At 42.4% G+C, this 15,472-nt stretch overlaps 1 protein-coding gene and 1 non-coding gene across 6 annotated transcripts in view; both read right to left on the bottom strand.

Moving 5' to 3' along the window:
* Positions 1–15,472, bottom strand: part of SON (SON DNA and RNA binding protein) — a 34,444-nt gene that overhangs the window by 15,812 nt on the left and 3,160 nt on the right. For 2 of the 5 annotated variants that reach the window (NR_103797.2, NM_138927.4), the window contains exons 2-6: positions 15,291–15,457; positions 6,279–12,194; positions 4,354–4,514; positions 2,294–2,440; positions 1,895–2,083 (exon numbers count right to left, since the gene is read on the bottom strand). Coding sequence is in view for 4 of the 5 variants with exons in the window: in NM_138927.4 (NP_620305.3) it covers positions 1,895–2,083; positions 2,294–2,440; positions 4,354–4,514; positions 6,279–12,194; positions 15,291–15,457 (6,580 nt within the window). In the remaining variant the exon portion in view is untranslated. Of the gene's footprint in view, positions 1–1,002; positions 1,794–1,894; positions 2,084–2,293; positions 2,441–2,603; positions 4,125–4,353; positions 4,515–6,278; positions 12,195–15,290; positions 15,458–15,472 lie in introns of those variants that run through there. The other 3 variants (NM_032195.3, NM_001291412.3, NM_001291411.2) reach the window with 3 other exon arrangements.
* MIR6501 (microRNA 6501) lies at positions 10,942–11,008 on the bottom strand. The gene has a single exon (NR_106756.1). It is a non-coding gene; the product is annotated as a microRNA 6501 (primary transcript).

The following is a 15,472-nucleotide window of genomic DNA, read 5'->3' as shown; positions in this document are numbered from 1 at the left end:
GTACTAAATTTCAAATAAATAGACGCACACACACACTCTCTCTCTCTCAAAAAAGTGTAAGCATCAGGAGTTACTAAGCACTTTCCCCATGATTGAACCGAAGAAATTCAAAACAGTTATGCTCACTTATCTTCTCAGGAAGATCCCTTGGAATTCTGCAATATTTGTTAAGTCTTCAGTGGAAAATATTTGTCATACAGACTCTCTCCCTACCTATTTTTTTTTCCAACTCTTTTTTAAATGCTTAAACTGCAGGAAATTACTAAAAGCATACATATTAGGATTTCTAAGTAAGCCTGTTCAACCCTCTTATCATGGTTTCTATTCAGCTACTACAAGAAGATTAAGTCAGCTGCACATGTCAGTTAACCTTTCTCTCTTGAGATATGCAGGTAGCCTGATTGGGGGATTAACAACTCAAATGGTCTCACTAAAATATTATCCAAACCAACTATCTCCCTCTTAACTGGTGATGGCATAACTTGCTTCACTTGTTGAATCCCATGGGAATACAGATTATCACCAGTAACTGTAAGTTGCACTGGCTAGTTATCATGTCCAGCTTCATTGTACAGAACTTGTTCTCTCAAAATGCTGCAGGTCAAACAAACAAAAAAAAAGTGAAAATGTCAGCTGTGAATAGCTTGGGGAGAAAAGTACTGCTATCAAAAAGTTTCTGATTTGGGTTCTGTTCACTTTCTGATTTTATAAACAGGATTTATTTGTAGAATTGGAGGTGTTTACTGGAAGATGATGATATGGCCAAGCCAAGGAAGGGAACCTACAGTGAAGAGTACAGGTGTCTCTGATCTACATATCCAAGAACTGCAAGAAAAATGTCCAGATGGGCATCAGATACCTAGTCCAGTCCTTGGCAAAAGTCTGGGCTTTGGAAACCAAGGGCAAGAGGCGATGACAACTAATCTATAGTAATTAAAACTCCCACCCCCCTATTAAGACTCCACCCTCCCACATCCCCCAAGCGTGATTTTGCACAACAAGTTAAATAAAAGTAAACTGTTTATTAAAAGATACAGCAAAGGTACAGATACAGAGATACATACAAAGATACAGATATATATATATATTTACATATATATACAGTCTTGCTGTTTTCATGTGCACTATATTTAGCAGCACATTATTTAATCAGGCGGCATTTTAATGGGGTTGTTTTGACACTTGGCATTATTAAGATACAACTATAGCCCCGTGGAAATTTCAACGTTTGAATTCCACTTCTCCGACTTTTAATAGTAGCAAAGAGGGGAAGGAGAAGGGAATGGAGTACCAAGGCTGAGCATTAGGTTAAACACAAGAATTTAAAAGGGCCAAGGTAGCAAAGGGAAGGAAAAATAATTAAAATTAAAGGCTATCTGACAAACAACCCAGAGAAACAGTAAGAAACCATCATTAAGGGCAATGGGCTATGTACCCAAGATGCTCACATCAACCTACAATGACCTTTTCCAATCCAGTTCTTGTGTTGAACCTGAGGATCTGCCCTCTCCGATCAATCCCTCCACCCGATAAATTTGCTACCACCAAAATCTAGAGCTATAGAGCCTTGAAGCAAATCGGGAAGCTAAATAGTTGTACCTTGGACTACCTTCCCACAAGTGCAGGGAGGGCCCAATGTTGGGTAGGGATGTGATAACACTGTTCTCTGCAATTCGATGCTTTTCACTTTGTGGCTTGGTTCCACAAAGTGAATTGCATCGAGTTACTGTCAAATGAGAAGCTGCGGGTTGTTTCATCTGTCGTCTAACCCGGCCCTGCCGTTTAACCCGGCCCTAAGAAGAGTGAAACAGAATCCAAATCAGACATAACATAACAATGAAATGGCAGATTCAGGTATAAAAAAGGAAAAATACATAATATTCCTCCTACTTACCTCTGAGGGCAAATTGCTGCTGAAAACATTATCATCATCTTTGTTTTCTTCACCATTTTTCTCCACAGGAACCCATTCTCCATAAACACTATCCGCTTCTTTTTTCCGATGTTGAGATCCAGATGATACAGGGAATTCTTTTGTTAATGTTACCTGGCTTTTTGGTGGAGTTGGTTTTGCTGCAGCAATCTAAAAAATAAAGTGTTTCTTAATTAAAGCTCAATATGATATCTACATTAAATGGTTTGAGATTTTCTACATAATCTGAAGGAAATGATATTATCCATTATTTCTCACAGTATTTAAAACAAAAATTAATAAACTAAATTCGATTTGGGTTTTATTTAAATAGTTCCACAAGTTACACTGTTTTACCAATCCATAAGCACTAATACTCACATTCAGATTGAAAAAAATAGGTTTGGGTTCACTGAGTTTAAAGGGATGATGATAAAAAGGAGGTTCTTCTTCCTCTTCATCCGAAACATGAGGTTTATTCACTATTACATCATCATCTTCTTTACTCTGTGCGATCTGTTTACATTTCTTTAAAAGTAAAAACAAACAAAAGATAAATCTTACGCTTTATGTAGAACATGTAATTTCTTAGAATCAAAACCACATAATAGCAACTTTCCAAAGTTAAACAAGATTCATGATAGGTTATAGATACGTAACTTGGCATATTAACTACTATTTAAACACACTCTGGCTGGTCAGTCAGTCAACAACATTTATTGAGCACCTACTATGTGCAGAGAGAGCACTGTACTGGGCACTGTCTGGGGAATACAAAAAAAAAAAAAAAAAAAAAAAGTAGAAGACATGGTCCCTGCTCTCAAGGAGCTTACAATCTAGTACAAGAGAAGGAATACATATACATGAAATAATTGAACACTTTTACAGAGCAACACAATAACAAGTGCAAACTGATATAATACAAACTGAGTACATAAGTGCTAAAAGAACAAAGGCTTAAGAGAGAATAGTCAGGCAGAGTTAGAGAATCAAGGAATATTCCTTGAAGAGTTCTAAGCCAGATTTTCATAGTAAAGAACAAAGACTGGTAGGGAAAGGAGAAGTCATCCTAGTCAGGTGGTGGTAAAAAGGTGAGAAGAAACTTGGGACAAGAAGGCTGAAGATGGGGCCGAAAACAGCAAAATACTAACTGTCCTTAGCATTTTGGATAAGGAGCTTGGATTAGGTAAATAAGCAATAGAAGCGTTTACAAGGTCCTTAATTTTTTAAAAAAAGTTGTAATTCATATTGTAATAAATCTAAGTGAGGAAACAGATTCAGAAGCTTTACATTTTCCCAGATGTATGGCAAAACAAAAGATCTGAAATATTTGCAACAGGATTAGATAGCAACATGTCTCTCCATAAATGTTTTGTGGGTTGAGTTTCTTTAAGGAGAACTTAGGAAAATAAGGCATGATGGAGAGGGTGCAATTGATGAGGTCTGATACATAAAGCAAAGTCAATTCCTTCCTGAGATGCAAAGGAACAGACTCCATTACCTGGCTTTATAAAAAGGTCAAGAGTAAATTTGGGTACACCTGTCTCTATACAAGCAGTAGATTTAATGACATCTATTATCAATTGAAAATATTACAATAGGATAAAAAGCTCATTTCGCCAAAAACACAAGAGTATATTAAGCTTGTAACCAAGGGGAACAGAATATATTGACAGTGGCAGGCTGGCATAAGGCTAGCCAATAACAAGTTCCAATATATGAAACAGTGTGGTATTTCTGGATCCTAGCAGCAATATTTTAGCATCTCCCCCCATCCACCCACACCAAAAAAATAGTAATAAAACAAAGCCCCAAAAAAGCCTCAATTGAAAAGATCAAACTTTTAAAAACAAAAATAAGTGTGTTTAAAATATATATGTTACTGCCAAAACCCGAACCGCAGGAAGAACTGATAATGGCCGGCCATTATCGCCAATGGCTGGTACCAAACAGCCAAAACCCGAAATGTTGATGCGAAAGAAGTTCCTTTCAGGCAATGGCCAGCTATTCTTATTAATTTCCAAGCTCCGGTGGCAAAAGATCATTTCTGAAGATTGTCTGTGTCTTTGCGTATATGCAGTATACTCGTGGCGATCAGTGAACGCGTCGTGAATGGAAACGAAACTGTAGGCGAGCTTCTGCGTGTTGCTCACTCAACACCTCCTCCATTCAAACGAACCGTCCCACTCCTCAGTCAGTTTGGCTTCTAAAACTGGAAAGCAAAAGTAATGGGAAGTAACTTTTAGCTAGCGGAGCTTAGCCATCCCGGATAATGGCCTGCTAAACAGAGCTTCTGCCGCTGCCACATCTGTATTTCGGGTTTTGGCCACTCGGTGCCAGCCATTATCAGTTCTGCCCACAATTCGGGTTTTGGCACGCTCCAGAGTCAACATCACTGGAATAATCCATTTAAGAATGAAAACAAATTCTGTCTAGCTTACCTCAGTTAGTTCTTCTATAGTAGCTCCTCCTGACTTTTTAGCAACTTTCTCTTCTATAGTAGGTGGAGGTGCAGGCTTTAGGTTTGGTGGTAAAGGGACACCAGCCTTAGCACACATGGCAGCTGCATTAGCTTTGGCTATTTCAAGTAATTGAGCCTTATCTGTAAGAAGAAAAATACAAGCTGCAGTTTTCCTAAAAGACTGTACATTTTGTATTACCAAAAGTCTAACATACTAACAAAACTAAAGGCATCCTAGATCCATCGAAGAACTTGGGTATCTAACAAAAAAGAAAAAAAAAAAGGAAAAAACTATAGGCATCAATATTCTGCTCTAAGTTACAGCTATGATCAAACCACTGGCTCAAAGTTTTTCAGCAGTGGCCTCATTCAGGGAATTAAGTCCACATATTGAGCTTCCCATTAGAATATTACAATAGGTTACTACACAACTATAATGATCACCCTACTACACACACTCTAAGATATAAACCTGCCAAAGCCTATTTCATTTCACAAAATTATCATGACCTTACTCTCCTTCTGACACCTTAAATCACTCTTTGAGCCCCAGTTCAAGTGCCACCTCTTTTTTTTTTTTTTTTTGAGACAGTCTCACTCTGTCGCCCAGGCTGCAGTGCAGTGGCGCCATCTTGGCTCACTGCAACTTCCACCTCCCAGGTTCAAGTGATTCTCCTGTCTCAGCCTCCCGAGTAGCTGGGACTACAGGCGCGTGCCACCACACCCATCTAATTTTTTGTATTTTTAGTAGAGATGGGGTTTCTCCACATTGGCCAGGCTGGTCTCGAACTCCTGACCTCAGGTGATCCACCTGCCTCGGCCTCCCAAAGTGCTGGGATTACAGGTATGAGCCACCATGCCCAGCCGAAGTGCCACCTCTTCTAACAAGCTGTCATTAAGTCAGAATTAACATTCCTTTTCCCCTTTTCCCATTGTGTTCCTAAAGTACCTCACCTCTATCAGTATTATAGTAATCACATTCTGTCCTTTTTAGACAGTGTTACTATAAGAGAGACATATATGCATTTTACCCATGTCTCCTCCACCACTTGCAATCACTTGAGGAATTACATACTGTTCCTCTGCTGTGAATAAAAAAGAACTCAGAAAACTTCTGTTGAACTGAATGCAGATTCTCCCTTTTTACTCTTAACCTCTTCTTCTTTAGACAATCCTGGCCTAGAAATGTCCAGTATACTGGGATAAGGATAAATTATCCATATTTATTATAGGTAATCATTCATATCGATCAAGTTTTAATCACCTCTGCACACTAAAAATCAGGGGAAATTAGAACAGTTATCTTTAAAGTAAAGCAGAACAGGTTATTAAAAATCACACTGATCTAAAATATTTAACTTTATTTAGCTAGTATCACCTACCCAATTAAATAACCCCCACACGCAAAATTCCCCACTCACTTCCATTACCAACTATACCAATCAGAATTACCTTCATTTAACAGTCCTATAATGCCATTTTAAGATATGTTAACTTATTTAAAAAGGAACATTGTAATTTTAGGCTTAGTTGCAAGGATGTATGTTAGAACACATACAATAACAATCTGAGCATATACTTAGCTTGTTTTTAATTTAGCTAGAGTTCTACATCTGTTTCTGCTTTCAATTTTTAGCTATGGCAAGATAACTAAAACAAAATAAAACATTCAAATATGGAAACACCTTGGTTCTATTATACTCTGAAACAGGACTTTTTAACTCTAATTATAATACACTGATCCCAGTAGTTCCTAAATACAGTACCATGTAATAATAAAAACTTAAAGACAGAAACATTTATCCTAAACCAGTAACTAAGTATTTCACTTGACTCAAGGTCAGAAAAAAATTAAGGTTTAAAACATTTTCTACTACCATCCCATTAAACTTTAAAATGACTCACCCAAATCTGTCAGACGTTTGGGTGATCTGCCTCGTTCAGAAGACCTGGATCTTTTACGACGGATGGGAGATCTGCTAAACCTTCTTCTTAAGGGTGTTCTTGATCGCCTTAATCTGACTGGTGAGATACTGAAGCTTCGTCTTCTTACCACAGACCTTGATCTTCTCCGGCGGCTTGGGGTGCGGCTCCGACGGCTAGGGGTGCGGCTCCGGCGGCTGGGGGTGCGGCTGCGGCGGCTGGGGGTGCGGCTGCGGCGGCTGGGGGTGCGGCTGCGGCGGCTGGGGGTGCGGCTGCGGCGGCTTGGGGAAATGCTAAAGCTCCTTCTTCTACCCACAGATCTAGACCTTCGTCGACGACTTGGAGTATGACTCCGACTCCGACGACTTGGGGTTCGACTTCGAGCTCTAACTGTCTTTCGGTTATCCCTGGAGCTTGATCTTTTTCTTTTTCTTTCCCTAGACTTGGATCTGTGCTTTGGAGATCTTTTGCGCTTCTCTTTTGATACAGATCTTCTTCCTCTAGACTTTGATCTTGATCTGCTGCTTCTCCTCCTGCGTCTTGAACGTGACCGTGAACGTGTCTGAGAGCGATGAGACTTGGACTTAGATGATCTCTTTCTTGCCCTAGAACGAGATTCACTGGTACGCTTGCGTGATTTGTGTTCAGAAGATTTGGAACGCTTACTTCGAGATCTTAATGAAGAGTCTCTTTTCTTCTCTTTCTCCCCCTTATCACGGTTCTTATTTTTCTTGCTTTTTTCGTGAGTGTCCTTAACTTTTACAAAAATTTCATAATCATCTTTTTCCTCTGAAGAAGACTCTGAAGCTCTTTCTGGCATACTACTTACAACCGGGCTGGCAGCAGATCTGTCACGTCCAACATCACTTGCAAGTAAAGGTCCTTCAATGCCAGCTCTAAGGCTTGTAAGACGTTCCATGTCCTTAGGAAGTAACGGTCTCACTAAATCTGCTTCATTAATATCCTCAATATTGGCAGAAAATCCTGAATCAGGCAGTGTCTCTTTAGGAGGGGGAGGTACTTCTTTTTCTCCTCCACTACTTTCTTTAGGGCTGAGCAGAGCTGCTAATGTCTGGTCACTCTCTTTTACAGGTAATGGTTCTTCTGTATCCTTACTAACAAGGTTATTATTAGATGGTAAATCAAGATGAATATCTTTAGCAGGCAAAGGCCCTTCAATGTCAGCTTCACTACCACCACTAGGACTGGTGGAAATTACCATGTCATGTTCAGTATCTTGAGTAGTTAAAGATAAATCAACATCATATTTATTAACTAAACTGAGAGTAGATGCTGTGGTAAATTCAATACCCTTACTAGTTCCTGTTGCATCAGGTTCCAGAGCAAAAGGACCAGTAGAAGATAGAGTTTCTCCTGCATCAGCTTCACTAACACCAGGGTAGGTATCCAATACTGTGCGCTGTTTAGTCTCACTGGTGGGCAAAATTTTCTCTTCACCAATTTCCCCAACAGGACTAGTACCAGCAGCACACACTGTATTATGTTCCATCTCTTTAGCAATTAAATGATTATTTATATTAAGGTCTATATTTATACCATGTTCACTTTCGTAAAAGTCACCTTTCAGGTGTTCCTCAGCATGTGGTTCTTCACCTGAATGCAATGCAATCTCCTGCATGCCAATCTCTGGAGCAAGATTTTGATCACCAGAGGATAGATTAATTCCTTTCATAACATGTGATGACATGATACTAGATTCCAGTATCATTGGTGTGGACTCTATAGCCACCTCAGTTGGTATTACTTGAGTCTGCTCTGAGACTGTGACAGCAGGCTCTGAAACTGTCACAGTCGATTCCTGGACAGAAACAGATGGTTCTGAAACAATCATAGAAGGTTGAAGGACTGACACCGCTGGTTCCAGAACAGGCACAGAAGGCTCCAGCGCAGAAACAACTGGCACAGGAATGGTAACATAGTCTGGCTCAGCCACAACAGGAGGCTCCGGGACAGTCACAACCGAAGGCTCCAGGACAGTTACAGTCGAAGACTCCAGGACAGTCACAGTCGAAGACTCCAGGACGGTCACAGCCGAAGACTCCAGGACAGCCATAGCTGAAGACTCTGGGGCAGCCATGGCTGGCGGCTCCAGAATGCTCTCTGCCAGCACTGGAGTAGTTACTGCTGGAACCAACAAGGATGTAGATACTTCTGAGGCAACATGTCCTGAGGCTCTCATGGAATCAAATGTTTCTGCTGTCTCTGACATAACAGGAGGCTCTGATGCTAACACAGTTGGTTCAGCTGACATGGCGGGAGTTTCAGATACCATACAAGTCACTGGTCTCTCTGGAACAACTTCATGTTCTTCTGCTACTACTGCAGACTCTACAGGTGTTAACGTAATTGAAGATTCTGGCTCTGGTGGTGGTTCTGGAACAGTCACAGCAGCCTCTGATACTAAAACTGAGGGATCTGATGCTGACACTGAATAATCAGTAGGCACTGCTGAAGGCTCCGAAATCTCACTTTGACTCACAGGAGGCTCAGGCTGCGATACAGACTCTTCAGATGGTGATGATGGCACCTCTGTAGGCCAAGTATTTTCAGCTGTTAATGCTGACTGCTCAGTGGGCAATGCTGGACCCTCTGGTGGTTCCTCAGGAGGCAATGGTGGTGTCATTGGTGGCTCCTCAGGTGGCAACGGTGGCATTGTTGGGGGCTCTTCAGGAGGCAAAGGTGGCACCATATATGCCTCTGTATATGTGTCAGTGTAAGAATCGGTGTAAGAATCAGCAGCCATAGACATCATTGAACGATCAGCAGTATAAGATGACATCATAGATCGGTCAGCTGCAGAGTACGATGACATCATAGACCGGTCAGCAGCAGAGTATGACGACATCATAGACCGGTCAGCACCCATGGACATCATAGATCGATCAGCCATTGGGGACATCATGGAGCGTTCATAAGCTGACATCATGGAGCGTTCATAAGCTGACATCATAGAGCGCTCAGCCATAGGGGACATCATAGAGCGCTCGTAGGCTGACATCATAGAGCGCTCGTAGGCTGACATCATAGAGCGTTCAGCCATAGGGGACATCATAGACCGCTCATAAGACATCATAGAGCGTTCGTAAGATGACATCATGGAACGTTCTGCAGCATAGGACATCATCATAGAACGTCTAGATGCTAACATCAGGGGTCTAGGTGCTAACCTATATGGCCTGGGTGCTATTCTATAGGACCTGGGTGCTATCCTGTAGGGTCTAGGTGACATCCTATAGGGATCAGGAGTTAGTCTGTAGGGATCATGGCCTAATCTATAAGGGTCTTGTCCTAACCTGTAAGCATCATGACCTAATCTATAGGGGTCATGGCCCAACCTATAGGGATCCTGAGCTAACCTGTAAGGATCCTGAGCTAACCTATAGGGATCAGGAGATTTTGAACCCAACATAGCAGAATCTTGGGTACTAGACGCTAACATCTGGGCATCCATGGTACCAGACGCTAACATCTGAGCATCCATGGTGCCAGAAGCTAACATTTGAGAGTCCATAGTGCCAGATGCTAACATCTGGGAATCCATTGAGCTAGTTGCTAACATCTGGGAGTCCATGGTGCTGGTTGCTAACATCTGAGAATCCATGGTGCTGGTTGCTAACATCTGGGAGTCCATGGAGCTGGTTGCTAACATCTGGGAGTCCATGGAGCTGGTTGCTAACATCTGGGAGTCCATGGAGCTGGTTGCTAACATCTGGGAGTCCATGGAACTGGTTGCTAACATCTGGGAGTCCATAGTGCTAGTTGCTAACATCTGGGAGTCCATGGAGCTAGTTGCTAACATCTGGGAGTCCATGGAGCTAGTTGCTAACATCTGGGAGTCCATGGTGCTAGACGCTAACATCTGGGAGTCCATGGTGTTGGATGCTAGCATCTGGGAGTCCATGGTGTTGGACGCTAGCATTTGGGAGTCCATGGTGTTGGATGCTAATATATGGGTCTCCATGGTGTTAGAAGCTAATATATGGGATTCTGGGGCCATCAAGGGATCCACTCCTACTGTTACAGAAGTCTCCCCCACTAATGTAGTAGGCAGCTCCTGTGCTACCGTATTATAGGATTCCAGCGCTGTCGTCGAGGGCACCTCCAGGGACTGCGACACGGTCATCGTTGACAGCTCCGATGTTGTCACCACAGACTGAACAGAGATCTCCAGCGCCACAGTTGCCACAGGCTGCCCAGGCAACTCTGGCGCCCCAGGCTGCCCTGGCAACTCCAGCACCCCTGTTGCCAGAGGCTGCCCCAAAAGCTCCAGTGCTCCAGCTGCCCCAGACTGCCCCGAGAACTCCAGTGCCCCAGCTGCCATGAGCGGCCCAGGCAACTCTAGTGCCCCAGTTGCCACAGGCTGCCCCGACAACTCCAGTGCCCTAGTTGCCGAAGGCAGCCCTGGCAACTCTGGCACCCCAGTCACCGAAGGCTGCCCCGGCAACTCCAGCGCTGTCGTTGCCACTGGCTGTCCTGGCAACTCCAGCACCATCGTTGCCTCAGGCTGCCCCAGCAACCCTGTTGCCGTTGTCACCTCAGGATGCCCAGGATGTTCCACCGTTGTCATCCCCACAGGCTGCTCCAACTCTGTCGTCGTCACAGGTTGTTCGGTCAACTCCATTGCTACTGTTACCGCAGGCTGCTCTGGCAACTCTACTGCTGCTGTCACCAAAGGCAGCCCTGGCAACTCCTGTGCCATCACAGGTGGCTCTGGTACCTCCTGTGGTGGCTCCAACCCCATGGATGGTGCTGGAAGCCCTGGCAATTCCTGCGACAACTGTGGCACTGGTGTCACAGAGGGCCCTGGCAACTCAGGCACTGCTGTCGCAGGGGGCCCTGGCAACTCAGGCACTGGGGTAGAAAGGGGCCCTGGCAACTCTGGCACCGGGGTAGCAGAGGGCCCAGGTAACTCCAGCACTGGAGTCACAGGGGGCCCCTGCAACTCCGGCATGGAGGTCGCAGGTGGCCCCGGCAACTCCATCGCTGAGGCCACCGACGACTCCTGCAGCTCCAACGCTGTGGTCTTAGGCAGCTCCGGCAACTCCTGCGGTCTTGTCATGGATGAATCTGCAATCTCCGATGGTACGTCTACAGGCTGCTCTGGCAATCTTAGCGCTTCAATTGCAGATGACTCTGGAAAATCCATTGTTGTTGATGTGCTTGGCTCAGGGTACACCTCAGTAGGTGTCTCTGATGATACCACAAGGGTTTCTGAAGGCTCTAACACTTTTGCTACTGGGGGCTCTACCAACATGATCTTTGATGGCTCTGGAGATGTGCTCTCCACAGATTTCAGCACAGACTTCATCTGATACTCCACTGACATTGTTACAACTGGCTCAGATGACTTCAACACCAGTGTTGTAGTAGGCACTGGTGCTGCTGCAAAGGAATCCAGAATCTTTGTCATGGATGGTTCTGGCATTACTGCCACAGACTGCTCTGACTGCTCTGAGATTACTGATGTAGATACAACTGACAGTTCTGCAGTTTTTGTAGCTGGCTTCAGAGTTTCTAAGATGTGTGGCTCTGATACCTCCATTGATACTACAGGAGGTTCTAGCACAACTGCAGGGGATTCATTGGTCTCAGATGGGCCAAATGCTCTTGTAGGAAGCTCCAGCGCCACAGCTGAAGGTTCAGAATCAAACTTTAAAAAGGAATCAGATTCTAAATCTATGTTCCCATCATCATGAGATTTCGTCTTTGACTCAGATTCTTCTGGCTGTCTTTTATATTTTTTTTCCTTTTCTTTCTTCTTTTTCTTCTTTTTGTTTTTGTGCTTTTTATGCTTCTTTGACTTTTTAGTGGGAATTTCATCAGTAGGATCTGTTTGTACAGATACGCATCTACTTTTTCTGGAGCCCTCTTTCAAGTCTAAAAGTAATAGAAATTAATTTTGTCAGACATTCCCCAAAGTAGAGTTAGATTAAATCATATAAACCCATATTTACATTCCATGTTAAAACACCTTAGTACAGGCCAAGTACAGTGGCTCACGCCTGTAATCTTAGCACTCTGAGAGGCCAAGGCAGGTGGATCATGAGGTCAGGAGTTCAAAACCAGCCTGGCCAGCATGGTGAAACCCCATCTCTACTAAAAATACAAAAATTAGCCAGGCATGGTGACGCGCACCTGTAGTCCCAGCTATTTGGGAGGCTGAGGCGGATCACTTGAACCCAGTAGGTCGAGGTTTCAGTGAGCTGAAATTGCACCACTGTACTCCAGCCTAGGCAACAGAGCAAGACTCTGTCTCAAAAAAAAAAAAAAACCCCACAGTATAACACCTCACGTTAAATTAAAAGTTACCAAATAAACTATTTTTCATAAAACAGTTAACCTGGAGACTACTACTTTTCTGATAATTCTTTCCACAACTAATGCCTGGGTTAAAAATAAATTATTAAACACCAAAACTTACTTTGAATTACATTAAGACATGTTTCACTAAATTCTATTAAAATAATTATTCCCTCCAGCTCTCAAATCATAGCAAAATTACTTTTAAACTACTTTTGTCACTGAATATATTTCATGTTATTAGTTGCTACAGTTTCTATTAAAAATACCCACATAATATAATTTTTGCGATTATTAACCCTTGTTTATACAGGAAGCAACATGGCACTGGCTCTGGAACAGACTGCCACTTTTGAATCCTCAATCAGTTCATCACTTACTAGGTTAATGGTCTTGGCCAAATTACTGACACACTTGTGTCTTCTAGAGTTAGAGGATAAAGTGAGTTAAAACATGCAAAGTACATCAAATAATGCCTGGCACAGAATAAGCTTTCAACAAAGGTTAGTGATTGCTTCTACAGAGTATAAAAATATCTGAATAACAAATATAAAATATTCATAGAGAACTCAAATTTTACCTTATCATGCCTACGTTACATTCTAATAAAAATAATATTTTCCCCCAATACTATTCTGAAACCACTAAAATAACTTTTTAAATGTTTCTGTTTTAGAAAAGGATACTGATTTTAGAGAGGAAATTCTTAGTCCTTATAACTTAAGAAAGTTTGAATTTACATACCCTAAAGAGATAACATTTTCCCCCAATACTATTCTAAAACCACTAATAAATAACTTTTCAAATGTTTCTATTTTAGAAAAGAATACTGATTTTAGAGAGGAAATTCTTAGTCCTTAATTTACAACTTAAGAAGGTTTGAATTTACATACCCTAAAGAGATGGGAGTATTCAACTTTAACAACCAGATGGGATTTATTTACTCTAATGCCAATATCAAATTAGATAAATCTTAGGGACCCCCAAAAAAGCTCATCAGAAATCTGAGCCATTAAGACTACAGAAAAAAGGCCGGGCACTGTGGCTCACGCCTGTAATCCCAGCACTTTGGGAGGCCAAGACGTGTGGATCACGAGGCCAGGAGATCAAGACCATCCTGGCTAACACGGTAAAACCCCGTCTCTACTAAAAAAAAAAAAAATACAAAAAATTAGCCGGGCGTGGTGGTGTGCGCCTGTAGTCCCAGCTACTCCGGAGGCTGAGGCAGGACAATGGCGTGAACCCGGGAGGCGGAGCTTGCAGTCAGCTGAGATCACCCCACTGCACTCCAGCCTGGGCGTCAGAGCGAGACTCCGTCTCAAAAAAAAAAAAAAAAAAAAAAAAAAAGACTACAGAAGAAAATAAATCAACACTTGACATAGGCCAAAGCAAAACTTACCATTTTCTATTAATTGTTTGTTTCATAATACAAAATGTTAGATAAGTCATACTTCAATGAAGGTTGTTAGAGCCATGAATCTAAGCAAGTCTGTTTGAGAGTCATGAATCTAAGCACAGCTAAAGTTCCCCCCAAAAAAGAGGACAAACCAACCATATTACAAACTTGATTCCAGAACTAAATCAAGGTAATGACTGTTATTTTTGTGGCTAAATCCTTCATTTCTAAACATCAATTAATCAATTCCAAAAACGCTAAATATTCAAGCAATGATTCCTCTCCATCCACTGCAGTTTAAGTGGGATGGGTATTTTTACACAACTGTTTAATAAAAATCCATACTCAAATTCCTGATACTAAGAAACTTAATCAAGCCGGGCGCGGTGGCTCACGCCTGTAATCCCAGCACTTTGGGAGGCCAAGGTGTGCGGATCATGAGGTCAAGAGATCGAGACCAGACCACCCTGGCCAACACGGTGAAACCCCGTTTCTACTAAAAATACAAAAAAAAATTAGCCGGGCATGGTGGCAGGCGCCTGTAATCCCAGCTACTTGGGAGGCTGAGGCAGGAGAATCACTTGAACCTGGGAGGCGGAGGTTGCGGTGAGCCGAGATCACGCCATTGCACTCCAGGCTGGGCAAAAAGAGTGAAACTGTCTCAAAAAAAAGAAAAAAGAAAAGAAAAGAAAAAGAAACTGAATCAAATAAACTGAAACTAAGTCAAAAATAAAAATTATATTCTACCAGCAGAGTAAACAAGTACATCAATGTTTGTTTTCCAGTGGAAGTATGGAAGGAAAATTTAAACAAGAAAGTCTTCATTAAATCAATTAAACAAAAGCTTAAATTTACTGAAAAAAAAATTTTTTTTTGAGATGGAGTTTCATTCTTGTCGCCCAGGCTGGAGTGCAATGGCGCAATCTCAGCGCACTGCAACATTCGCCTCCTGGGTTCATGCGATTCTCCTGCCTCAGCTTCCCAAGTAGCTGGGATTACAGGCACCCACCACCACACCCGGCTAATTTTTGTATTTTCAGTAGAGATGGGGGTTTCTCCATGTTGACCAGGTTGGTCTGGAACTCCTGACCTCAGGTGATCCACCCACCTCAGCCTCCCAAAGTGCTGGGATTACAGGCGTGAGCCATCGCACCCAGCCTAAAGTTTTTAATTTAATAAATATCTTAAATACTGAAGTCAAAAACTAACATTAACCTTCAAATTTCAAAAAAATCTTAAAAGAAAATTTTTGAGACAGTTAATTATCTCCAACTTACCTGGCTTATATCGTAGTTCTGTATCTAAGACCCCAGAAAGTACTTCCTCTATCTTCTGCACTATTTCTTCATTTGGTAGACTCCTGGCAGAGGCAGCTGCATCACCCGCCTGGTTTCCTTCAATGGGTGTATTTGTTTCACCATTCAGCTGGCCTTCATTCCTTCCACTTGACATGAAAAGT

The sequence above is a fragment of the Homo sapiens genome, chromosome 21 (genome assembly GCF_000001405.40).
Source record: "Homo sapiens chromosome 21, GRCh38.p14 Primary Assembly".
In the NCBI taxonomy this organism is placed as follows: Eukaryota; Metazoa; Chordata; class Mammalia; order Primates; family Hominidae; genus Homo; species Homo sapiens.
Note: the sequence above shows the minus strand (reverse complement) of the source record. Positions and strands in the feature narration are given on the sequence as shown.